We start from the raw sequence: 26819 nt of genomic DNA, 5'->3' as shown, positions 1-26819 counted from the left end.
TAAACTTAAATCAAGTAAAATTAAATAAAATTAAAAATTAAAGTTCCTCAGTCTCTTTAAGCACATTTCAAGTGTTCACCTGGCACATGTGGCTAGTGGCTACCATATAGGTCTAGAATATTTTCATCATTGTAGAAAGTGTCATTGGATAGCTCTGCTCTAAATCTAACTGCCAATTACTAAGAAACACAGAGGAAAAAGGAAAATGTTAAACGACACCAGGGGGATGTGAATAGCAAAGTTTGGACTATGGGAAACTCTATAGGACAAATGATCAAATTAATTCATCAAATAAATTGCAAGGAGAAACCTACAGATCAAAAGATATTTAAAAAACATATAACCAACTGCAATACATATATATCACTTGAATTCTGATCCAAACTAAAAAAACCTTTTAAATAATTAAGAAATCTGAATAACTAGATTTTTGAATATTACATTTTCAAAGAAGTAATAACAGTATTGTGGTTATTTTTTTTTTAAATGACATATCATTTGTAGCTCCAAACTGAAGCTATGGATCAAATAATATGACAATTGAGATTTTGCTGCTACATAAATTTGCCTCAGTATAGTGGGGAAAGTAAAAGGAGATTTAAATGAAACACAACTGGTCATGACTTAATAATATTGAAGCTGAATATGGGGGTTTATTACACTTTTCTCTCTACCTTTGTATATACTTAAAATTTTCTATTATAAAAAGACAAAAGGAAGAGTGAAAGAAAAGAAAAATCGATTGAAAAAGACAATAATGAAAGATAAGAAAGAATGGAAAAGAGAAAGAGGAAGAAAAAACGAAAGATATGACATTGGTAGCAGACTAGGAAAAAGCACAGGGAAGGCTATGCTCTCTCACTCATTTCTTCTTCCTGCAATTCCATCTCCCCTCAACAACAACAAAAACAAACAAAAAAGGCAAAAAACCTACAAGTACTTGAAACAGGTTAGAACAATGGAAAGAATATAGAACTGAGAGTTGGAAATACACTCTGAATACCACTGGGCAAACTACTTGGCCTCATAGGAGGTAGTTATATCCTGGTGGCTAAGGGTATGGACTTCGTAATCAGACACATTTGAGTTTGAGTCCCTGTTCCTCAACTAATTGGCTTGGGACCTTGGTAAGTTATTTAAGTCTTCTATATTTCAATTTCTTTACCTATAATATACAAATAATGACAATACCTTTTTCAAGGGCTGGGTGTAAGAATTAAATGAAATAATGCATGTAAAGGGGTATAGTAAAGGGCATGGCACTTAGGGAAAAGTGTAAAATAAAATTTAGGTCCCAGTTTCTGGTTTCCTGAATAGCTAATAAGCAAAATTAAAAAGTTAGATAATCTATTGGGTCCCTTCTGTCTCTAAAATTATGATCCCATAAAGTAGAATGAATTAAACTGATAAACACATACTTATTAGAAATACATTTAGCTTAAATAAACCAGCAGGTACTATGTAAACTTTCAGATAATAAGGTAGACTTGAATATAAAGTCACTTTTCTTGCTAAACAACTAGTAATCACACTTAAAAAGAAAGATGAATGCTTATTCAGAATACATACTAGAATATATACTATAATTATACAAATCATCTCAGAGCAAAAAATTTAATAACCAAACTTGTATGCCACTCAAGGCAGAAATTATCAGACCATAGGGTTTACAGTCTTGAATTCTGAGAAGTTTTTTACCCATACTTATCTCCTTCCTCTGTTATAACTCATTTTTCCTTTGTCTTTAAACAAGTAAAAACCTTCCATCTTGAAACTAATCTTTACTTCCTGCACTTACTAACTTTTCCAGCTTTTTCCTTTCATTGTACCCATTTCTTCACCAATCAACTCAAAAATATTAACTAATTAGTTTGCATGAGCAGGGACATGAATACAACATAGGCAAATGAGACACAATCCCTATATTCAAGGAATTCATAATATATACAGGTAAGACATATACAAAAACTGAATACATTTTTGTAAGTCCAAAAAATTACATAACTGTAAATATTTTTATTAAAAAATTTTTAATGCCTGCAGTGTGACTTTTAGCTCCCTTGCTCCAGTTGATCTACAAATATTTATTGAGAGTTTTGAGTGTTAGATACTGTTTTAACTGTTCTAGGCACCACGGAATTCATCATAAACAAAGCAAACAAAAATCCCTGCTGCAGGGAGATGTTTTTAAAATCTCCACTAATTGGCTTTTTTTTTTTTTTTTTTTAAACTAAGGGCCTTTTCTCAGATCTCAAACTCCTTGACTTTTCTTTGGCATCTGACACTGCTGACAGTTTCACTGTAAACCATCACACATATTTTGCTGAATATGATAAGCTACCAGCCCTGACTTCTTATCTAAATTCTAATTCCAAAAGTTTTAATTCCAAATCCCTATCTTCACATAGTGGTTTTCACTGATAATTCAACAGCTCACCTTCTCCTCAAACCATATCTTTTCCCTAACCTCCTAGAGTCATCAAGAATGCTGTTTACTCAGTTCAAAATCTAAATGTCATCAAGACTCCATCCTGTCTGCATTCCCTACTGGTTGAAGAAATAATGATTCCTCACTCACAGCATTTCCTTCTCTTTGAAGTGAGCTCTACGAGTTTTAACAGCCCTGGTCTCTCTCCACACCCCTGATACACTTCTCCCATGATCAGGATGGCGACTTAGCCGACCATTGAGTTTAGTAGGGGAAAGTAAACATATGTAACACAGCCCTTACCTCTCCTCCTCTGGGAGTAAGTCTAATTCTGTCACTTAGTGTGTGCCTAGAGATAAAAGTCACATTCGACATCTGTGTAACCAGTAATAGGAGTAATATTTTTGGACCTATCTGCCTTATTTCTCAATTAGTTAAGAACTTGGTTGGGGAAGAATGTTCTTTATTAGGGTGACTATAGTATTCAATTAATTTGCTAAGTTATATAATTTCTAGCATTCCAGATTTTAAGAAATTAGACCTTGCCTGCTGCTGGTGCCTCATTACAAGATACCTCCTAAAAATCATTCACCCTATAGAACATCAGTAGAAAAAGCAAGAAACAAAGTGAAAAGTCAGGTAAGTCATGTTTCCCAAAGTAGCAGAACTACTTTAAAAGCTTCCTTATGATATCATCAAGGGGCCATTTTTGCTTTAAAAAGCTATTCTTCTGGCAGTAAATGTGCAGCAAACTTAATTTGCAATAGTGATTTGACATGTCACTGAATTCTCCGGTAGCCATTTAGATGAGCTGAATCAGTGTCATGTCTTATAATCAGACCGTATCTTGCAAAATCTTTCTACGTCTACATTATTATTGCTTATGAGAAGTTATAGTCCCAGTTAAGTAGTTCTCTCAGTTTTAAAAATAACAAGATCCAGGTTATTACTTGAAGACTCCTCTAAAAGATGATTGAGACTATTGTTTCTCGAGTGCTAAGGCTAGACATACATGACCAAGCCTGAAAGAAAGGTAGGGCTTTATGAATGGGTAGTGCTTCAGTGGAACTTTCATAAACAGGTTCAACCAGAAAAATTCAAACCTACAGACAACTTTTAAGAATAGCACAGTGAATACCTACATGGTCTTCATCAAGATGCACCCATCCTAAACACTTTGCAACATTTGCTTTAATTCTCTGTATATATACACAAACTATTATTACATACTATTATTTTGAAGGACTATGTTAGCATTTGTTATAGACATTATGTTCATTCATTCCTAAATCCTAGTATGTATCTCCTAAGAACAAGGACACCATCACACCCAACCACAATATAATCACCAAATTCAGGATCACAGTATTGGTATAATACTACTATTTAATATCCAGTCTATATTCAAATTTTACCAATTTATCCTGATAATGTCCTTTATAGCAATTTTCTTTCATTCCAGGATCCAATCCAGGATCACAAATTGCATTTTGTTGTCACATCTCTTTAGTTTCCTTTAATCTGTAACAGTTTCTTAGCCTTTCTTTGTTTTTATAACACTGACATTTTTAAAGAGTACAGGCGCTGATGTTTTGAGGAATATTCCTCAAACTGGGTTTGCCCGACTACTTCTTCATAATTCAAATTATGCAATTATAATATTTTCCTTCTCAGTGTATCATGTCAGCAGACAGTCACTTTGCCCCATTATTGGTGATGTGAACCCTGGACAATTAGTTAAGGTACTATCCAACAGACTTCTCCAAAAACAATTATACTTAATAAATAGTTGTATAACTAGTAGCCTCTATAATTTTATTTTTATTTTTTAGAGACAGGGGTCTTGCTATGTTGTCCTGGCTGGTCCTGAACCCCTGGCCTTAAGCAATCCTCCCACCCTGGCCTCCCAAAGTGCTGGGATTACAGGCATGAACCACTGTGTCTGGCTGCCTCTGTAATTATTATGTAATCTTACCTGTTCACATACATCACGGCACATTTGGTTATCCTTTGAATGATTACAACACAATGCACCTAGGGAGAAAAAATAAACATCAAATGTTGTTCCACTGTTAAACAAGATGACTAAGCTAATTCAGATGGTTACACAAACCATTTATTCAGTAGATGATGATTATTATTATTATTAATTTTAACTCAACAAACCTTTACTGAGCACCTATTACAAGTCAAGGACAGTGTTAGGTTTGAGGACATGGTCCCTGTCCTCAAGAAGCTTGCAGTCTAATAGGGGAGACTGTCATGTAATAATAATAGCTACTATTTAGTGTGTGCTTTCTATGTCCCAGAATTTGACTAAGTTTGTTGTATGCATTTTCTTATCTAATCCTTACAATTACCATATGGACTAGAGCTATTTTTAAACCAATAATAAAAAGTCAACTGATAAAAAGATAGTGAATTTTGTTTTGAGCATGTGAATCTGAGGTTCCTATAGAATATCCTGATGGAAATTCCAGTAAACTCAGAAATTCAGGCCTGGAGTGCAGGTAAAGCCAAGCCTAAAGATCCAAATTTGGAACTCATCAGCATAAAGGAGTATATGGAAATGAATGATATTGTCTAGGGAGAGTTTCTAGTGAGAAGAGAACATAGCATCAGATTCTAAAGAAGAGTAACATCTGAGATATGGAAAGAAAGGAAAGAGACTGAGATGGAATAGTCAGAAAGGCAGGTTAACCGTGAGAGTGGCATCACAGGAGGAGTAGTGTCATGCACCACAAGAGTCAAGTTAGACTGAAGAATGAAAAAAGGAAATGGGTTTACTAATTAGCCACTTGGTGAGCTTCACAGGTTCTTTCTGTGGAACTGGTAGAAGTGAATGATATTAAGGAGTAAACCACAGGTGAGTAAGTACAGACATCAAAAATAGAGTCATAAGAAGTCTAGCAACGATGGGAAGGAAACAAAGTAGTAATTATACAAAGATGCAAGGTTCCAAGATTTTTTCTCCCTTTTTCAGAGTGGAAAAGACTTGACCTTCTTTACAGACAGAAAAGAGCAGTAGAGAGCTAATGTTCCTCTGACAGAACAAGTCTCAAGAGGACTCCAAAGGGGATAAAACCAAGTGTTTATGAGAAGGCACTATCCCTGGAAAGAAACAGGGAATACTTCTTCTTCCAAGATATTTATCAACTTAAAAAAATTTTATGAGCAGCTTAAGTACTAGGCACTGATCATTCATTCAAAAAAACATAAGTCTGTTCTCTTGAAACTTAAAGAGCAGATATTAAACTATATATGTATATATACACATACATATATATATATGGAGACAGAGAGAGAGAATACGAATGTGAAATGGTGGTAAATGTTATGGCAATAATAAAACAAGTTAAAGAGTAAGGAGGATGTGTGTGTGGAAGTGAGTGGGTATTTTATAGGGCAGGCTAGGAAGGCTTCACTGAAAAGGTGTCACTCAAGCAGATACCATAAAGTAAGGGAACGAGCCACAATGAATTTTCCAAAAGGCAGAAACAGCAAGTGCAAAGTTTCTGGTGTGTTCAAAGAAGAGCAAAGAGTGTGGCTAGAAAAGAATGACTGAAGGGTAGAGTAGGACATAATGCGATCAGAGAGGGGGACCAGATCATACAGGTCTCTATAGGCCATGGTAAGAACTTTGGCTTTTACTCTGAGAAGGATGGAAAACCACCCACGGGTTTTGAGCAGCATGTCATAATCAGAATAACATTTTAAAAAGACCACTCTGGTTCCTGTGTTAAAAATATAATACACAGGAGTAAGGGAGGAAACACTAATAGGCTATTGAAGTAGTCTTGATAAGAGACTGTAGTGTCTTCAACTAGGGTGGCAGCAGTGGAGATGGTATTAAGTAGTCCGAATCTGGATATATTATGAATATAAAGCTGACAGGATATGCTAATGGATTGGAAGTGAAATATGGAAGAAAAAGAATTAAGAATGACTGTAAGGTTTTTGGTCCAAGAAAGTGGGAAAACAGAAATATCTAGAAATACCATTAACTGAAATGGAAAAGACTAAGGGAGGAGATCTCAGAGAGAGAGAGATGATCAGAAATTCAGTTTTAGATATAATTTTGAGATGCCTATTATATATCTAAAATAATATACTGAGTAGGGAGTTGAATATATGAGTTCGGGAAGACTCCAAACTGGAGATGGGAATTTGGGAGACACACTATGTAGATGATATTTAAAGCCATGATGGCATCTGGGGAAGGACAAGATCTGAGAACTGAGCAATGCATTCCCTCCTTCAGAGACAGGTGAGAACGGTCAATGTATGGGAAGATAATTAAGAGAAAGAATGGTGTCCAAAAAGCCAAATAAAATGTTTCAAGAAGATGTTAACCATGTTAGATACTGCTATCAAGTAATAAGGATTTCAAACTGATCACAGTACTTGGCAATGTGGAAGATATTGATGATGACCTTAAATAAATGTTATCAATGTGAAATAAAGGGCAAAAGCCTGACTGCAGTGAGTTCAAGAGACAATTCAAGAAAATACAGACAATTCTTTTGAGGAAGTCTACTTTTGAGCAGTTGTAGAACACTGTATAATAAATAATTTGACTGGCCTTTCTCCCTGGTTCCTGGGAGGGAGACTCTAAATCACCGGAATTTCCCGAGTAATAGGAGTGTCTTTGTTATGCTAACAAGGTGACCCATGGTCTCACCTATCAAGCTTGCCCAAACGGTGGCCCATGGGCTGCATGTGGCCCAGGCCCAGCTTTGAATGTGGTTCAACACAAGTTGGTAAACTTTCTTAAAACATTACGAGATTTTTTTTTTTTTGCATTAGTGTTAGTGTATTTTACATGTGGCATAAGACAATTCTTCCAGTGTGGCCCAGGGAAGCCAAAAGATTAGACACCCCTGACCTAGATAGTTTCAGGATGGAGGCTGGCAACACCAGAAAGAACAGCCATGTGTTTAAAGAGCTGGGGCTTTTAGCCACATGGTATCAACCTGATCTCCCAACTTCCAGGGATTGAAGGGGGATTGCAGATTGATCTCAACCATATGACCAATAATTCAATCAAGTATGCCTATGTAATGAAACCCCAATCAATACTCTGGACATAGAAGCTCAGTGGAGCTTTCCTGGTTGAACACATTGATGTACTGGGAAGATGATGCACCTGATTCCATAAGAGGACATAGAAGCTCTGCATTCCCTCCTAGATCTCACCCTATGAGGCTCTTTATTTGACTGGTCCTCCTGAATTGTACCCCTTATATTAAAACCATTATTTAAAGTATAGTGCTTCCCAGAGTTCTGTGAGTTGGTCTAGCAAATTATTGAACCTGAGGGGGTCATGGGAACCGTGGATTTATAGCCAGTTGGTCAAAAGTGTGGGTGGCCTGGGGACCCTTGAACTAAAGCTAGTGTCTGGATTAAGGGCAATCTTGTTGGGGACCATGCCCTTTAACTTGCGGGGTAGATGCTGATTCTGGGTGGCAGAACTGAATTACATTATATCCAGTTGGAAGTAAAACAGAATATAGAGAAATGAGGTGGTTCCTGGAAGGGCATGTGGGTTTTAAAAGAGGCACTGTGTTTAGGAATAGGGATACAATAGTGAACAAAAGTTATGCTCTCTAACTTCACCCAGGTTACCACCTGGTAGTAGGACAAAATCTAGACAAGAGTAAAGAATTCAAGGACACCGATAAATTAACAGGGAAATTGACAGCACCTCATTTTCTCAGTGAAATAGTGATTAGATCTGAAAATAGATAGGGCTGAGATAGGGTTGGGGGCTTGAGTTGAAATTATAGAGGCCTGAAACAGCCACTTTGGAAAATAGAGAAAGGAAACAACTATAAATATGTTTCTCAAACCTGTGTTCAAAACAACACTGCTTCATCAACTTAGAGAAAGAAATGTCAAATTAGAGAAAAGGAAAAAGGTTGCCAAGCAGCATTATGGCTCCAGAGGAATTCATAAATTGGCTATAGCGATAATCATCAGAGGCATGTAACTGTTGTAGAGCGCAGAAGACTGAAAAGAGGATAGAGTTGGCATTGTCAGCAGCTGTCTAGAATTGGCAAGTCAAAAGACACAGGAGGGAAAAATACTACATTTCAGGCAGGTAGATCTGGTACAATGGTTTAAAACACCTGTTTTTACATATATATATATATATATATATATATATATATATTCAACCTGTGTGTCTGTGCGTGTGTATGCAACATAATCCTCTCTTCAAATGAAATCTGTACAACTTCAGTATACATATTAGATAAAAGTAGAACTTTTTTTATTGAAAAGTAGGATTGGTATTGAGGAGAAATGAATGAGTAAACAAATGAATAAAAGAAGTCCTCTTCAGATCTTACCAACCAAGTTTCTAAGTTTTAAACTGGAAATCACTTTTCCATAAAACAACGACAGGGTCTAGGATGTTACTGCCATATTACTATAGATCAGTTTCATAAAAGACTTGTGGGGTTAGCTAGCCTTTTTTTTTTTTTTTTTGAGACTGGCTTTCTAATACTATTTCTATGTCAAAACATGTCTTGAAGTTCTAAACATTTGGTTTACAAAATTCTGAAGGACACATAAAAATTTCACTACATTTCAGAAGAAAAAAAAGGTGCCTTGATTGTAGTAAGGCTGTAGTTACTTTCTATGAAGGGCTAACACAAGGGAGGACCGAAGCACTCATAAGGGTTTTTGTTTTTTTTGAGAGTCTTGCGCTGTCACCCAGGCTGGAGTGGAGTGGTGCAGTCTTGGCTCACTACAACCTCCACCTTCAAGTGATTCTTGTGCTTCAGCCTCCCAAGTATTAATAGCTGGGATTACAGGCATGCACCACCATGCCCGGCTAATTGTATTTTTAGTAGAGATGGGGTTTTGCCATATTGTCTAGGCTGGTCTTGAACTCCTGGCCTCAAGTGATCCGCCCACCCTGGCCTCCCAAAGTGCTGGGATTACAGGTATGAGCCACCACACCTGGCCGACGCTTTCTTATAACAACTCCTCTGCAATGCCACACGAAACTACATCCATCTCCTAAGACTCTGCTATGTCCCTACCCTCATTAGACTGGGAGGATAGTCAGGAAAAAAGGCTCTCCTGAGTGACACTGATGTGCTCTTTTGAAGAGCTCTAGAAGTTGGCACTTTCTACTACTAGCCTCTAACACAAAGTTCATGTGAGGGCAGAAAATCCTGCTGGTCGTAAGCAAAGGTAATTCAAGATAACATATGGTCCCAATAAACAGAAAAAGGCTCAGCAAAAAGTAAACAATCAGGCAGACAGGAGTCTGATTTGGACCTAGGGATTTTTGAAAAACAATTTCTTGGAGCAAAGGTCTATTTCAAACAGAAACACAAAATGTGTTATAATTAAAACTCCACTAACAGAGGTCTTACTAAAAATATAACTATAAAAGCCTTTTTTTCCAATTAAATGGTGAAGGTCAAATCTATAGGGGAGTATCCCTCAAAGTTAAATTTTTAAAATAATTCTTTTTTTCATTTAAAAAACCTCAAAAATTTGGAAAACAAGAAGAAAAAGAAAAATTATATTTCCACTGTCCTGCCACAACATCTGTTGACATTTTGGCATATATTCCTTCTAGTCTTTCCAAAAGACTTTTTGATACTTCTGACAAAATGGGATGAAAGAGGGAAGCCTAAAGTCTTCTGGTAATAACTTCTTTCCTCCTCCCAACCAAATGTTCTTCTGTAACAGCATATGTCTTCTCTTGAGGGCATTGCCACTCTCCACGAACAGGACAGGGGACCTCTGCTCCGTCACATTTTCTACACTCTCTTCTTACCCTTAGCCATTATTGTATCTGCACACATTTTTCTTCCTTTGAAATAGCTAAAGCTTATTAGAATCTTTAACGTTGCATATTTTTCAAGAAATAAATGTCTACAAATAGACATCCATTCATATGACTTCGTTATCAATGGGAGAAGAATTCAAATGCAATTAATGTGGCATTTAAGGGTCTTTATCTTTTTCAGAGCAACTAAAAGGGATTAATTGGGTCATTCAACTATTACAATACAACAAAACAAAACAAAACTCTCCCAGGCCTAATGCTTTCTATAAGAGAAGATAATGAATTCTAGACATATTCTGGGTTTATAATTTGATCCTAACATATTCTTCAAGAATAATAGTTTAAAACTCTGCTTATTTTCATAAAATGGAATTGAACAGATAAAGATGGAATGATTCAAAATAAAATTTGACACTGCTATGATGAAAATAAAAAACACAGGTGTTATCTTCATTAAAGACATCAGTATGAGTGTCGTATCTTGCATTCTTATTCCAATAGTCTGTGATTATAAAATAAAAATTAAAAATTGATTACTAAAGGCCACATTTTTTGGGCTTAAGAAGGTATTAGTGTAGCCTGAAAATATGCAAGCAGAATTATCCAATAATTAGAAACATCGAGTTTCAGCTGCTGGTTTTGGCCATGTGTATACTAAAGACAGGCAAGTAAGCAGGAAGCACATGCTCCAGCCACATGCAGAAAAACGCAGCTTCTAAAGCCAACTAGCTTTAAAAAAACAAATACACACCCTAATCCAAAACTAAGAAATATCCATAGAATTATAGGATTTTTGAAGTTAAAAGGGATTTTTGCCACAGATGTCTCACAAAAGCTATAATTCAGTTGGTTAATGAAAAGCAATTCTTGTTTCCTAAAAAAAAAAAAAAAAGATTCCCTCTAATTAATGTCTCCCTAAAGAACAACTAAAACAGTGTGTATGTGTATAAATATATATATACACACACATATACATACATAGATGTGTGTGTGTGCACGTGCATTGAGTGTGTATTACACACTTCAGGAGAAAAAAACTAAATCTGAGTTGATACTGGAAAAAGATCATTCAAATTTAAAAAATTAATTTAAAAATCTGTTTTTTAATGTAAAATCTTATTTTTAATCAAATTTTAATTTTCAAAACAACTTGGAAAATGACAATCACTTAAAAAACATTTAAATGAGAACTGCAACTTTAACTTATAAATACATTCATGAAATTGTCACATTTAACCCTTTAAAAATATACACGTGGGTATATCTGCATAAAGTATACAGTCAGCCAAGGAAGCGCCAAATAGTGAGAGGATTACCCACATACTCACCACCTCAATTCAACACTGCTAACATCTTGTCATACTGCCATATCTATCTGTATGTATGTATGGATAGATACATATTTTGTTTTTTTCCCGAATCATTTGCAAGTTACATACATCCTTCTCCACTGCTTGCCTCATATTGCACTGCTGCAGCAGCCAATTATATTAAGTCAATTGTAGTACCAATATGACTGCCAGATTACTTTTTTTAACAGACCTTTCATGACATCCCTCTTCTAATCAAGGTCCTACAATGGCTTCCTGCTATTCCAATTCTAAAATTTCAAAGTCTTTCTCTAGCCTTCCCTTCCCTAAACTTCTATTACTTTTAGCAAAGAAAATCTACACTTACCTAGAATGCAGTCCTCTGCCTGAAATGCTTGATGCCCACTTCCTGCTGACTCCAAACATATTGCAAGGCTTAACTATCATCTTAATTCTTAGTAAGCCTTTCTTCTCCAACAACTCTAGGCCATGTTGATGTTTTTGTTATTTAAGACCCTACTATTCTAGTGAGAGTAGGAAACTTTAACACTTAACTCTTCTCTAATCATTTCATGTGGGTTCTCTTGGTATCCCCAGATTGATTGTAAGCTTCTTGGTACAATTAGCACAGTGCTCAGCTCAAAAATTAGATTCACTGACTAATAAAGAATAATGGAAGTCCTAGCCAGAGCAAATAGACAAGAGAAAGAAATCAAGGGCATCCAAATTGGTAAAGAGGAAGTCAAACTGTTGCTGTTTGCCGATCATATGATCGTATACCTAGAAAACCCTAAAGACTCATCCAAAAAGCTCCCAGATCTGATAAACGAATTCAATAAAGTTTTAGGATACAAAATCAAGGTATAAAATCAGTAGCACTGCTATACACCAACAGTGACCACTCTAAGAATCAAATCAAGAACTCAACCTCTTTTATAATAGCTGCAAAAAAAAAAAATAAAATAAAATACTTAGGAATATACCTAACCAAGGAGGTGAAAGAATTCTACAAGGAAAACTACAAAACACTGCTGAAGGAAATTACAGACAACAGAAACAAATGGAAACATATCCCATGCTCACGGATGGGTAGAATCAATATTGTCAAAATGACCATACTGCCAAAAGCAATAGACAAATTCAATGCAATTCCCATCAAAATACCATCATCATTCTTCACAGAACTAGAAAAAACAATTCTAGTTCCTAAAATTTGAATTTCAATCCTAAAATTCAAATGGAAGCTTCAAATTATACTATAAGGCTATAGTCACCAAAACAGCATGGTACTTGTATAAAAATAGGCACATAGGAACAGAATAGAGAACCCAGAAATAAAGCAAAATACTTACAGCCAACTGATCTTCGACAAAACAAATGAAAACGTAAAGTGGGGAAAGGGCATCCTACTCAACAAATGGTGCTGGGATAATTGGCAAACTGTATGTAGAAGAATGAAACTGGATTCTCATCTCTCACGTCATACAAAAATCAACTCAAGATTGATCAAGACTTAATTCTAAGACCTGAAACTGTAAAAATTCTAGAAGATAACATCGGAAAAACCCACCTAGACATTGAATTAGGCAAAGACTTTATGACCGAGAACCCTAAAGCAAAAGCAACAAAATCAAAGATAAATACATGGGACTTAATTAAACTAAAAAGCTTCTGCACAGCAAAAGAAATAATCAGCAGAGTAAACAGATAACCCACAGAGTGGGAGAAAATCTTTGCAAACTATGCATCTGACAAAGGACTAATATCCAGAATCTACAAGGAACTCAGACAAATCAGCAAGAGAAAAACAAACAGTCCATTAAAAAGTGGGCTAAGGAGCCGGACTCGGTGGCTCACGCCTGTAATCCCAGCACTTTGGGAGGCCGAGGCGGGTGGATCAGGAGGTCAGGAGATTGAGACCATCCTGGTTAACATGGTGAAACCCCGTCTCTACTAAAAACGCAAAAAAAAAAAAAAAAAAAAAAAATTAGCCAGGCGTGGTGGCAGGCGCCTGTAGTCCCAGCTACTCGGGAGGCTGAGGCAGGAGAATGGCGTGAACCCGGGAGGCGGAGCTTGCAGTGAGCCGAGATCACGAGATGCACTCCAGCCTAGGCAACAGAGCGAGACTCCGTCTCAACAAAAAAAAAAAAAAAAAAAAAAAAAAAAAAGTGGGCTAAGGACATGAATAGACAGTTCTCAAAACAAGATATACAAATGGCCAACAAACATATGAAAAAATGCTCAACATCACTAATTACCAGGGAAATGCAAATCAAAACCACAATGCAATACCACCTTACTCATGCAAGAATAGCCATAATTAGAAAATAAAAAAATAACAGATGTGGGAGTGGATGTGGTGAAAAGGGAACACTTTTACATTGCTGGTAGGAATGTAAATGAGTATAACCACCATGGAAAACAGTAGGGAGATTCCTTAAAGAACTAAAAGTAGATCTACCATTTGATCCAGTAATCCCACTACTAGATATTTATCCAGAGGAAAAGAAGTCATATGAAAAAGACACTTGCACACGCATGCTTATAGCAGCACAATTAGCAACTGCAAAAATATGGAAGCAGCCCAAATGCCCATCAATCAACAAGTGGATAAAGAAAATGTGGTAGATGTGTGTAGCAGCACAATTAGCAATTGCAAAAATATGGAATCAGCCCAAATGCCCATTGGATAAAGAAAATGTGGTATATGTGTACACACACACACACACACACACACACACACACACACACACACTATGGAATACTACTCAGCCATAAAAAGGAATGAAATAATGGCATTTGCAGCAACCTGTATGAAGTTGGAGACCATTATTCTAAGTGAAGTAACCCAGGAATGAAAAACCAAACATTGTATGTTCTCATTTATCAAGTGGCAGCTAAGCTATGAGGACACAAAGGCATAAGAACAATACAACGGACTTTGGGGACTCGGTGGCAGCAGGGGAAGAGTGAGCGGGGGATGAGGGATAAAAGACTGCACATTGGGTACACTGTAGTGATGGGTGCACCAAAATCTCAGAAATCACCACTAAAGAACTTATTCATGTAACCAAATACCACCTGTTCCCCTAAAACCTACTAAAAAAAAAAGTAGTAATATCCTATAGTTATACAATGTCTTTTTAACAGGAAAAAAGTACAAAAAAATTTCTCTCACTATATTAATACTATTTCAGTACCATATTTCATATGGTAACTCACCTATAATTTAGAAAACATCATATGATTTTTAAATCAAAAGATAAATTGGACTAAATCATACTCAGGTAAGAGGCAGGCAGCCAGTTGGTGGTGGGCTCTGCAGCTATAAGGTCAAGAAGAGCTGAGGCTGGGAAGCTGACATTTTATGAGGGTGTGGAAACTATGTGCAAAAAAAAAAAAAAAAAGGAAGCTGATTGAGGGAGAGAGGAAACTGGAAGAGATGCACAGAGAGAAGCCATGTGAGATAAAGACTGTCTCTAAAAGAACACACGGGAAGTCTAATTTCCTGTCAGTCTTGGTTCCTGTCAACTTTCTAGTTCCTGTAGCAGTCCCTGAGGTAGAGATGTGCTGAATTTCCTACCCTTGGCTTTCCATGTGATTTCCTGTTAAATGCTATATAACCAGCCCCCTAATCCTGACTTATTTTGGGTTTTGTTCCTTAGAGTCAAAAGAGCTGTAACCTAGACATTGATCATTATGAAACAACTAAAGCAAATGACTCTTCTGAAGTCCTCTTCAACAGTCAGTATTTTTAGATAATTCCCTTCCCCACTGCAGCAGGGCTCCCATCTCTAAACAAAGGATCTAAAAGTATAGCTCCCAATTATCTCATGGTCAGAACACATCTCTTAATACTCCACTTATAGTCTTGTTCAAGTTACCTATGTGCTTTACAGCATCCATCATACTATGTGCTATATACCTGATGAAACCATATGCTTTTTCCTCAAATATATTCTTCAGATTTAGGATATAAATAGGTATGTACTAATATAACCACATAATATTAGCCATGTAGGTATTATACATTTTGGGGTGAATTTCCTGTCTGAATTTCCCACTAAACTTAAGCCCCTATTTTTGCTTACCACTTTATACCTCTGCCTATCACAGTGTCTGTCAGTATTAATAGTTTAATAAATATTTGCTAAATGGATTACTCACAAGTATGGAATTTGGCTTAATAAGCAATGGCCCTAGTGCAATTATTACTAATATTCATCCTAAACATGTACAAAAATAGAACTTTTTATTCTCTCCTTTCCTTACCTTACAACCCTCCTCCAAAATGCTCTTCCTCCATCTTCCCTACTTCAGTAAATGGCATCAACTTTTATTAAATTGCTCATGATTAAAAAAAAAACCTATGAGTAATCCTTAATTCCTTCTTCCCTCACTTCCCACATCTAATCCATCAGCAACATATTTTAAATATCCCCTCTCCTATCTCCACACCACTCTACTCTTGAGTCAACCCTTATCTCCTGCTTGAACTACTGCAATGGCCTTCTAGTCATCCTGCTTATACTCTTACCCCACTACAATAATTTTTTTCATTCAGCAGCAATACTGATCTAAAATAGAAATAAAATCATACCACTCTTACTTAAAACTCTATTGGTTTCTATCTGTGCACAGAATAAAATCCATAATCCTTATGTGGTTTTTTGCAATGCTCTGCACCATCTAGCCCTAGCATACTCTGTTGGTCACTACATTCCAACCATATAACCTTTTGTTCCTTATGCCTTAAGGCTTCTGCACTTCCTGGACCTCACCCCTGTCTTTCATAAGACTACCCACCACCTTCTCAGCCTTCGGATCTCAGTTCTAAACTTTACCTTCTCAAAGAGGCAGCTCTTATAAACTCTTTTGAAGTTCTTTTACACAAAGAACTACTCACACAATTCTCTGTGTTAGCCATTTGGTTTAGTTCCTTCATGGCATCCTTATCATACCTAGAAATCATTTTGTTACATATTTATCTATTTATTGTCTATCACCTCTCAGAATGTAAGCTCCTTGGAGCAGCAGCTCTGCACCTAGAACAGTGCCTGACGTATAATAAGTACTCATATAGTATTTTTTGGATAAACAAACCTCATAATATCTCTTTTGTTCTTTTAAAAACCACATTTATAATATATAAAAATAACCTCCTTGACCTCTTCCCATTTTCTTCTACAAGTGGCACACAGTGAAAAGTATTATTAATGAAAGATTGCTTAAATTTATGGATGCCAGACAGAAACTTTCAGCTGCATACCAGAATAAACTGTCATATCTGGTCTATCACCAATCCTAGCTCTTTCTACAGTGTGGGCCAAGATACTTCTTTGGTAAGAGAATCTGCTTCTTATTACTTTGCTCCAGATAGGCGTTTGCTTTTTCTAACTTAAAATTCATTACTTTCTTCTTCTGGATTCTAGGTTTACTATTACCTAATTCCTTAAATGTCAACTTACTGAAACCTGGCCCTTAAGGTTATATCCTTCCCTCTTTTGTACTATTACAAAGCAACTTAAATAAAAACGGAGCCATTATCAGGTGCCATGACACACGATGCTGATACTGCAGGATAGGGTCCCTTCTCATCCTCCAAAGAGAAAACCATTGAGCAAGTCATTTCACTTTCACACCTCCATCCCCCAGGAATAGGAATAATCAAGGTAATAAGATTTGCAAAGTTGTATAATAGAGGGGGTCAATAACCTGCAAAGCCTTATACCAGAGCAGACAGAAGTACCCAATCTTGGATGCGGTTAAGAAGGGAAGGAAGACTGAGCAGGAATACAAGCAAAGCCTTCACTGAAATACAATTTTATATTGTGTTCTTAATTCTGTTTAGGATTGAAAAGCATTTTCTATACTTTCTACAATTCACAGTGGAAGCCTTTGTCCATTATATTACTCAATGTCCTTTAGTAAGGAACCAGGCAATACATGCTTCCTAGAATTTAGTATAAGGAACATGTCTCACTTTTAGATCAAACTTGGAATTTTTTTTTTTTATCAAACAATGCAAACTATATGTTGTCATGAACTTTTAGAGCTTAGAAGGGCCTTTAGAAATCAACTAACCCAGCATTTTCTGAAGTGCGCTTTAGGTGTTATGAAGAAAAAAAGAATTTTATGAGCAAACAAGTTTCTTTCTTTAACAACTTTATTGAGCTACAATTTGTATACCATGAAATTAACCCTTTTAATATGTACAATTCAGTTGTTTTTAGTATATTCACAGAGTTGTGTAGCCATCACCACTATCTAATTTTAGAACATTTTCATTACTCCCAAAAGAAACTTCATACTCATTAGCAATCACTGCCATTCCCCCAGCAAAAAAGTTTCTTGTTTTTTTTTTTGTTGTTTGTTTGTTTGTTTTACCACAGGAATCCTTGGACCCTTTATTGTGAATCTAATGTGTTTTGTGAATTTATAAGACAGGGTACCATCTGCAGTATTTCCCGAACATACTTAATAGCTAATATTTCACTGCTTACTACGCTAAATGCTGGACATGTATTACCTCGATTCTCATAATAAAATCTGTGAGGTACCATTTATAATAAATGTGGCTATTTGAGCACAAAAAGATTAAAGCTAAGTAATTTGCTCAATGTTCTTAACCACTCCACTGTACTACCTCCTGCAGAACTGACTGGTTGTGGGAGGAGAATGGACAACTAGTATTTCATAATTTTGTAAGTGTTTCAGTTCAATCTCTTTTAATTTAACAGGGAGAAAAATGGGGCCCAGGAAAGTAATCTGATTTAGCCAAGAATACACAGCATTTTCTCTTTTATTCTTTGGGATAGTTTACAGCTAAATTTGAAACCTAGCTATAGTTAATACCCCTGTTGGAACTGACTTTGATTTTTTTTTGAGACAGGGTCTCACTTCCGAGGGCAGTGGCATATCACTGCAGCCTCAACTTCCCGGGGCTCGAGCAATCCTCGTATCTCAGCCTCGCGGGTAGCTGGAACAACAGGCATACACCACCATGCCCGGCTAATTTTTGTATTTTTAGTAGAAACGGGGTTTCACTATGTTAAGCAGGATGGCCTCGAACTCCTGGGCTCAAGGGATCCGCCCGCCTCCACCTCCCAAAGTGCTGGGATTACAGGGGAGAGCCTACCGCACCCGGCTGACTTTGCTTTTTTTTTTTTTTTTTTTAAGGTGTCTCTGCCTGTCTCCCTGTAAGCAATGCACTTCACCACTTTTGCATGCACACGTCCTAGCCATCTTTCAATGTCTAGTACAGCTAGGGGGAATCACTCCACTTTCCACTCATCCTAGGTCGATGTCCTCTCTCCCTCTGTGCACTCATACATGGCCCTTCATTTCCTCTGGACATTTCTGCCTTGAATTCGAGTTACTTCAATCTCCTGCTGTACCCCATCTCCTACCGAGAGAGCTTTTGGACGGAAGGAGTCGGCGTGCACTCAAAAGGCCAGCAAGCGGGAAGCAATCAATAAGCACTTAACAGTTTCCTATCCATCCTTGGTTTAGTTCTTGTAGAGCAAGAATTTCTCTCCTCAAGCCTGCCAGCCCCCGGGGGACAGGGTTTACTGATTTTTAATGTCTCCTGCCCGAGTCCAGGACCCACCACGCGGGCTGTGGGGACCGTCAGTGCTCACCGCCACCAAGGTCGTTATGAACCAAGTGCGGGTCAAGTAACAAGTAACAATAACTAACTAGGGCCGCGGTAGGGCGGCTGCGTATCCGAAATCCCATCTAAACCTCGCGACGATCCTGGGCGGGGGCATCGCACCCTTTTCTGACAAGCAGCAGAGGCAAGCGAAGGGGTCAGTGCCGAAGAGGGGGCCCGTGTCGGTGGGTGACAGACCAAGGCCTCAAACCCGAGTCACCGCCCAGAAGATCTTGGGGCGGAGAGAGTTCCTCACTCGCCCCGCCTCGGCACCAGCCTCTGGAGCGCTGAGACCTGGGGTCCCGGGGTCGCCGGACGTGGGCAGGGTCTGGGGGTCGCGCGCACCCCCGCCCCCTGCCCCGCGCCATCTTGGAGCGCTGTGGCGGCCGCTCCCGACAGCTTCGAACCGTTGCTCTGGAGGTTACTCACCCGCACTGCCCGGAGCCAGGCCCCCTGCCACCTCCGCGACCCCCGCCACGGCCAGCAGAAGGAGCAGCGCACCTCGCAGAGAGGCCCGGACGGTCGCCATGTCCGGGCCGGGCGGCTCCAGAGCCGCGGGATGCTCGGACCCAGCTTGGCCGCAGCCGCTGCCGCCGCTACCGCCGCCGCTCGCGCGAGGCCCCGCCCCCAGCGCCCGGCCCTTTGGTGACTGGCTGCGGCCCGCTCAAGCCCCGCCCCCTGCCTCACAGTGTTTCCAAAACCTCCCGGGGGCGGGAACGTGCCCCGTACCAGGGCTCTTTGTTATGGCCCAACTGTGTGTCGGCTTCTGCCAGGAGTCCACCAGCCCACGTTCTCCCAGAGTGAAGTCAGAGGATGTCAGAGCTGGGAGAGTCATTAGAAAACCTCTGCCACCTCCTGAGGTTTCGGGCCACTGAGGTGAGAGAGGAGACTGACCTTACTCAAGATCACACTGCAAGTTCACCTGAGAACAAGGGCTTAGTCCAAGGCCGAACCAAAGGGGCTTCTCTCCTTCATGTACCCTCAGTAATACTCGCAATATTCTTTCTGCCGAGACGCTGCCTCGCACCCAAAGAAAGCATGTCACCCGGGATCCTTCGGCCTCCCGCAGACACGGCCCCCTGACAAGGGTTCATCACTAGAGCTCTTTGGCACTATAGCCTCAATGTGTCTTTGTTGTACTTTAAAAATTATTTATTTATTTATTTAGGCAAGAGTCGCTCTGTCGCCCAAGCTGGGGTGCAGTGGCGCGATCTCGGCTCACTGCAACCTCCGCCTCCCGGGCTCAAGCGATCCTCCCACCTCAGCCTCCTGAATAGCTGGGACCACGGGCGCAGGTGACCACGCCTGGCTAATTTTTATATTTTTTTTGCAGAGAAGGGGTTTCACCATATTTCTCAAGCTGGTCTCGAACTCCTCGCCTCAAGCAATCCCCCAGCCTCCTCCTCCCAAAGTACGGGGATTGCAGGCGTGAGCCACTGTGCCTGGCCTTGATGTTACTATTAAGCACCTATTCCTGATAGGAAAAGAGGATAGGAGAACGCTTGTATACCTAGATGTGGAAAGCCTTGAATATCCGGCTGAGAAGTATAGACTTTGTCCAAGAGACAAGTTGGAAGTGGGTCCCACCCCACCCATCAGCCCAGCAGCTACGTGGAGAATGTTTAAGCCACTGGCTAGCAAAGCTAATTCATTGTCTCTTTTTTTCTCTGTGTGTTCCTGAATTAAACCCTTTTTCCTCCTTTTTTGAAAAAGCATGACCACCGTTTTAAATTCTCATGAAGACACCTGGGGCTAAATTACTTAAAACATTTTTAAAATTCCTTAATATTATTAAATATCCAGTCATTATTTACATTTTTCTTATTGTCTCATGATTTCTTTTTACAATTTTTCAAGTTCTAAACAAAATCCATATATTAAAGTTGGTTTTTATGTTTTTGGGCTCTTACATTTATCCTCTCTTTCGAGTTTACAAAAGGAAAACATGAATAAGTTAAAATATCTAAAACATCTCCTCTGATGACTCTGTTGCTTCTGTGTACAAGGTAAACTGAGGCACAATAAAATTTTAAAGTTTACTTCAGCACGCGGTGATTCATGAATTGAGAAGCTGCAAACCAGAAGTGGTTCTGGGGCTCAGCTCTGTCGAAGAAGCAGATTTTTACAGAGTGAATGGGAAAGTAATAAAAAGAAAATATTTGATTGGTTACAGTTATAAAGTTGCCTTATTTGGTCTATCCCACTAAAAAGCCTCTAGTTATACAAGTTTGTGGACTACTTCTGATTGGTTGAGCTTGTTCTGTTTTTCTTTAATATATGCATTTACAAGAAATAGCTCAGATTAACTCAAGTAAGTTTAAGGTCACTTATGAGGACTAAATTGACTATCTGCTCAGGAATTCTGCAGACCTGGTCTTCATTTTAATTTATTTTAACAATTCCCCTCTGAGAGTAATAGTACCACTATTGACACAGTCACTGGGCCAAAGAGTCATGATGCTATCATTATTAACAGTTGCGGCTGGGCGCAGTTGCTCATGCCTGTAATTCCAGCACTTTGGGAGGCCAAGGTGGGAGGATAACTTCAGCCCAGGAGTTTGAGGCCAGCCCAGGCAACGTTGTCAGACCCCCATCTCAATTAAAAGAAAAAAAAAAATAAGTAGTTACATTGGGATGTAGAATCACATGTAGGCTTTGGCAGTTGGGGTAAGTTCTTCAAGTTGTCTAATCCTGATGGCAATCATTTGATGTGTGGCTGCTGGAAAGCATTAAAACTCTTGACAGGGGCTGGGCGCGGTGGCTCATGCCTGTAATCCCAGCACTTTGGAAGGCCAAGGTGGGTGGATCATGAGGTCAGGAGTTCAAGACTAGCCTGGCCAACATGGTGAAACCCTGTATCTACTAAAAATACAAAAATTAGCCAGGTGTGGTGGCGCGTGCCTATAGTCCCAGCTACTCAGGAGGTTGAGGCAGGAGGTTGAGGCAAAGTAGACCTTATTTTTTAGAGCCGTTTTAAGTTGACAGCAAAACTGAGTGGAAAGTACAGAAGGTAGACAGTCCCTGCCCCCACATATGTAAACCTCCCCCCACTGTCAGCATCCTGCACCAGAATGGTACATTTGTTACAATTGATGAGCCTACATTGACACATCATCAACCAAAGTCCATAGTTCACATTAGGATTCACTCTTGGTGTTGTACATTCTGTGGGTTTAGACGAAGGTGTAATAACATGTATCTACTCTTATTTTTTTTATTTTTTAAGATGTAGCTATCAGAAAACTTAAAATTACACGTGTGAGCCCAAAGTGAACCACAAATGTAATTATGTTTTTCCTGAGACAGGGTGTCCTTCTGTTGCCCAGGATGGAGAGCAGTGGCACAGTCCTGGGGCACTGCAGCCTTGAACTCCTGGCCTGCAGTGATCCTCCCACCTCAGCTGCCTGAATAGCTGGAACTACAGGTGCATGCCATCATGCCCAGCTAATTATTTTATTTTATTTTTTGTAGAGATGTGGTCTTGCTATGTTTCCCATTCTGTTCTCAAACTCCTGGACTCAAGCAATGCTCCCGCCTCGGCCTCTCAAGCTGTTGAGACTACAGGCATGAGCCACCATGCCCAGCCCCAATATGCAATTTTAAGCACTGTAAGAGTAGTGTAATTATCTTTCATTCTAAAAAAAGGTTAATGCTTAGAGATGAGTACGATATTTTAAAGAATGTTACTCACCAATGATTTTGTTTTGAGCCAAAAAACCATGGTTCTCAAGGTCTTGCACCTTTCCTCCTCTTCTTCTATCTCTGACTTCAGTTCCTACTGTTTCTGTCGTGTCCAGCCATCACCTCCAGCCAATCTTGCTCAGGGCCTTTCCCTAACTGCTCCATGTAACTCCTGCCTCAGGACCTCTGTGCTTGGAGTTCTTTCTGCTTGGAATTAATTTCTCCCAGATAGTTGTACACTCTCCCTTTTCTTTTTTAGGTCTTAACTCAAACGGCCTTCCTTAATTGCCCTTCTTAAAATTAAAACTCAACCCCACCTCTGAACTTCTTCTCCCCTTTCACACTTTATATTTTCAAAAGCCATGATTACCTTCTACCATATTAATAGGTTCTAATATATAATATTATAAAATATACTACTTACTTTCCCAAAGTGTTGCTTGTTTATTATTTGTTTCCTTACTTCATGAGGGCAGATATTTTTGTCTGAGACTACAGACTATCCTTATTTCTTTTATACATACACACACACACACACACACAAACTTTTTTTTTTTTTTAAATGAGACAGGGTCTTGCTCTGTCACCCAGGCTGGAGTGCAGTGGCATGATCACAGTTCACTGAAGCCTCAACCTCCCAGGTTTAAGTGATCCTCTCGCCTCAGCCTCTTGAGTAGCTGGGACAACAGGTGTGTGCCACCATGCCCAGCTAATTTTTTTGATTTTTTGTAGAGACGAGGTCTCACTATGTTGCCCAGGCTGGTCTCGAACTCCTGGGCTCAAGTGATCTTTCTGTCTCGGCCTTCCAAAGTGCTGGGATTGTAGCTGTGAGCCACCATTCCTGGCCAAATATCCTCATTTCTTAATTGCTTCCTGCAGCAGAGCCTGAATCTGTTTCAGAAAGAGAAACTTTTAAAATTAAGAATATGGCAGATGTTTAAGTAGTTTTAATTAAATAGGAGTATTGTTTTTTAGAACTTTTGCATAGTAAATTTCTAAAGCCAATCTTTAATGGAAATACTTTTTCTGACTTTGTTTAGCCTGAACATATTTGATCATGATTAATTGACCTAGCTTAATAAGGAAGAGGTCCATTTTGAGTTAGTTAACTAAGACTTTATGGCATCTGATTTCATATGTGTACAGTAGGACAATTTTGTGAAATATTAATGTATTTTCTGTTCCCAGTAATTCCTTCATTAGAACTAAAACATGAGGGCAAGGCATTCACATCTTCAGAGATGATCATTAGAGTAGAAAAATAGTCAAAGAGGACAACTCCTAGCTTTTGGTTTTAAAAAACATACACTTAAAATTTCAGGCAGAGACAATGGCTTTAAAGAGAAAAAGCCTTTGAAATATCAGAACGTGGTCTATTTTATAGCTGAGAGCATAAAATATTTGTATGAAGAACAGACATGGAAGAATACTATGATTAGTCAGACACAGTCCCTCCTACCCCCTCAGTCCCCAGCAATTTGATTCACTCTGATGTGGAAGGAGGAGAGCCACTGGAGGAAAAGAAGGCGTCTCTGGTCTCCTTCTTCTGATGCAGTGGGGTGGGACATAGAATCCCCAGAAAGGCTTGAGACTACGAGATAAGAGGGGATCTGATTCTCCTTGCTGTGTGGAGCTCAGGAAATGACAGACCTCATAAAATTCATCTGCACTTAACACGATGTAGGTATAGAGTAGAAATGGCTGCAAATGTGTCCTGTTTCATGCTCCACACAGAAGAGCAGCCAAATGTTTTTTTGCCCCTCAAGAGATGCAAGGTAGGAGACAGCTGAGAGCCTGAAGCGACCTCAAGATTGGAATGAGGAGGCTGTATCTGTTATTTGAATCATCTGTACAAATGGATACCAGATGAGAATGCAGATGTCAACAGGGATTGATGATGATGACTGAGGACCACATGTCCTGTCTTCTTCTCCAGTCCCAGTTGCTGGCTTTGGCTCTATATAGACCTCTCAAAGCTGGGGAGGGGTTTGTGAGAGGCCTTGACTAAACTGAGATCCCACTGAACTTACTGAGATTTAGTTTTAGTCATTCGGCAGGAAGGGGATATGCAGAGTCAACTAACTGTCCATTGAAGATTTGATCACCCCTTCTAGAAGTGGTTGCTTGAAAGCAACTACCAGCCAGAGACATTTTCCAATTGCTAGTGTGTCATGTTCACTGTTAATTTAATAACTGGGAGTAAGGCCTTGGAGAACGAAGGGTCCCTGTGCCTCGGAGCAGAATTGGCATATCTAACATCCACACTGATGCCTACAGTAAGATCTAAGAGGAGGAAGAAAAGCCCTACTCCTAGGCATCCAACACCCACGTTATGAAATTCAGCATTGAGACCTCAGCCTATGATGCTGGTACAATATCCTGCCAGCCTCCAATAAGCCCTCTAAAGACGTAAGCCTGTGAATATAAAATTTCCACCCCCCCATTCTTTACTCTCTTTGGCAGTTTATTTTAGTAATTTTTGAACTTAAAACTATTATTTTTTATTTTTTAACTATAGAATCATTCCTTTCCCAAAAAAATCTTAGAGTTCTGCTATATAAACAAGAAAAAAGTTGTGTTGTATTGCTACACTTATTTTATAAGTTCAAATTTATAGCAATTATGTAGTTCAAAGTCAGTGAATGAGAGTTCAAAGACAGTGAATGAGAATTCAAAGACAGTGAGTAAGATTTTGATAAATATAAAAACTTGAATTCTGGAATTATGGATGACTGTTGCAGTCACACATGTTCCAGCTTCCGATTTATTTAACGCATTTTCTTTTTGTTGCCTGCTATAGAGAAAATCCTGATTCATAGAGATGAGTACCTTGCCAAGGGTCACCGTTTTTGAAATAACTTAACTTGCAATCCCACACAACTCTTTATTTAAATTAAGATGGTATCCTGAAAATGAAGCACTGAGAAATTTCTGTTTAAATATTGGTTCATGAAAACTTATGTCCACATAAAAACTTGCACATGGATATTTATAGCAGCTTTAGTCCTAATTGCCAAAACTTGGAAGCAACCAAGATGTCCTTTAGTAGGTGAATGGAGGAAAAAAAGACAACAACTTTGGTGCATCCAGACTGTGGAATATTATTCAGTGCTAAAAAGAAATGAGCTATTAAGTCATGAAAAGACATGAAGGAACTTTAAATGCATACTACTATGTGAAAGAAGCCAATCTGAAAAGGCTCCATACTTTATGATTACAAATATATGACATTCTGGAAAAGGTAAAACAATAAAGACGGTAAAATGATTAGTGTTTGCCTGGGGTTGGGGGAAGGGAAGGATGAAAGGCAGAGCACAGAGGATTTTTTAGGGCAGTGAAACTAATCTGCATGATACTGCAATGGTAGATACATGTCATTATACACTTGTCAAAACCCATAGAATGTATTCTATGGGTACACCATAGAGTAATGTATACACCAAGAGTAAACCCCAATGCAAATGACGGATTTTGGGTGATGATGTGTTGATGTAGGTTAACCAATTGAGACAAATGTACTACTCTGGTTGATAGTGGGGGAGGTTGTGCATATGTGAGGACAGAGGATGTGTGGGAGCCCACTGTACTTTCCACTCAAGTGTGAACCAGAGTGTGCTAAAAAAGTTTATTAATTTAAAAAATGTTAGATGTTAAAAATCTGAAAAAACTGATTCACTAATATGACAGCTGCTCAAATTTCTTATCACACATTGAAAAGAACCAAAGATGTAGCAACCAAGACTTATGTTTAATCTCGATGCTATTTATAAGGTAGTAGCAACCAAAATTTGTGGTTAATCCTCATACTATTTATAATGCACATTATTTTTGTGTGACATGTTCTCTTGTTATTGTGCAATTGGCTATGATGCCATAAAAAGAACATGCACCAAGCAGATGATTCATAGCCTTGCCCAACACTTAATTGAGAACAGCACA

At 38.7% G+C, this 26819-nt stretch overlaps 1 protein-coding gene across 6 annotated transcripts in view, besides 2 other annotated features; it reads right to left on the bottom strand.

Moving 5' to 3' along the window:
* RECK (reversion inducing cysteine rich protein with kazal motifs) overlaps positions 1–19814 on the bottom strand; it is an 87543-nt gene extending 67729 nt beyond the window's left edge. For all 6 annotated transcript variants that reach the window (NM_001316345.2, XM_017015207.2, NM_021111.3 and 3 more), the window contains exons 1-2: positions 19629–19814; positions 4404–4462 (exon numbers count right to left, since the gene is read on the bottom strand). Coding sequence is in view for 5 of the 6 variants with exons in the window: in NM_021111.3 (NP_066934.1) it covers positions 4404–4462; positions 19629–19728 (159 nt within the window). In the remaining variant the exon portion in view is untranslated. The remainder of the gene's footprint in view (positions 1–4403; positions 4463–19628) is intronic.
* Positions 19535–19684: a silencer, noted in NCBI's record as "silent region_19886". NCBI's record gives its function as "represses an Ori minimal core promoter by ATAC-STARR-seq in GM12878 lymphoblastoid cells {active_cell/tissue: GM12878}" and the evidence as "EXISTENCE:reporter gene assay evidence [ECO:0000049][PMID:35858748]".
* Positions 19695–19894: a silencer, noted in NCBI's record as "silent region_19885". NCBI's record gives its function as "represses an Ori minimal core promoter by ATAC-STARR-seq in GM12878 lymphoblastoid cells {active_cell/tissue: GM12878}" and the evidence as "EXISTENCE:reporter gene assay evidence [ECO:0000049][PMID:35858748]".

Source organism: Homo sapiens, chromosome 9 (genome assembly GCF_000001405.40).
Source record: "Homo sapiens chromosome 9, GRCh38.p14 Primary Assembly".
In the NCBI taxonomy this organism is placed as follows: domain Eukaryota; kingdom Metazoa; phylum Chordata; class Mammalia; order Primates; family Hominidae; genus Homo; species Homo sapiens.
This window is presented reverse-complemented; position numbering and strand designations above follow the sequence as displayed.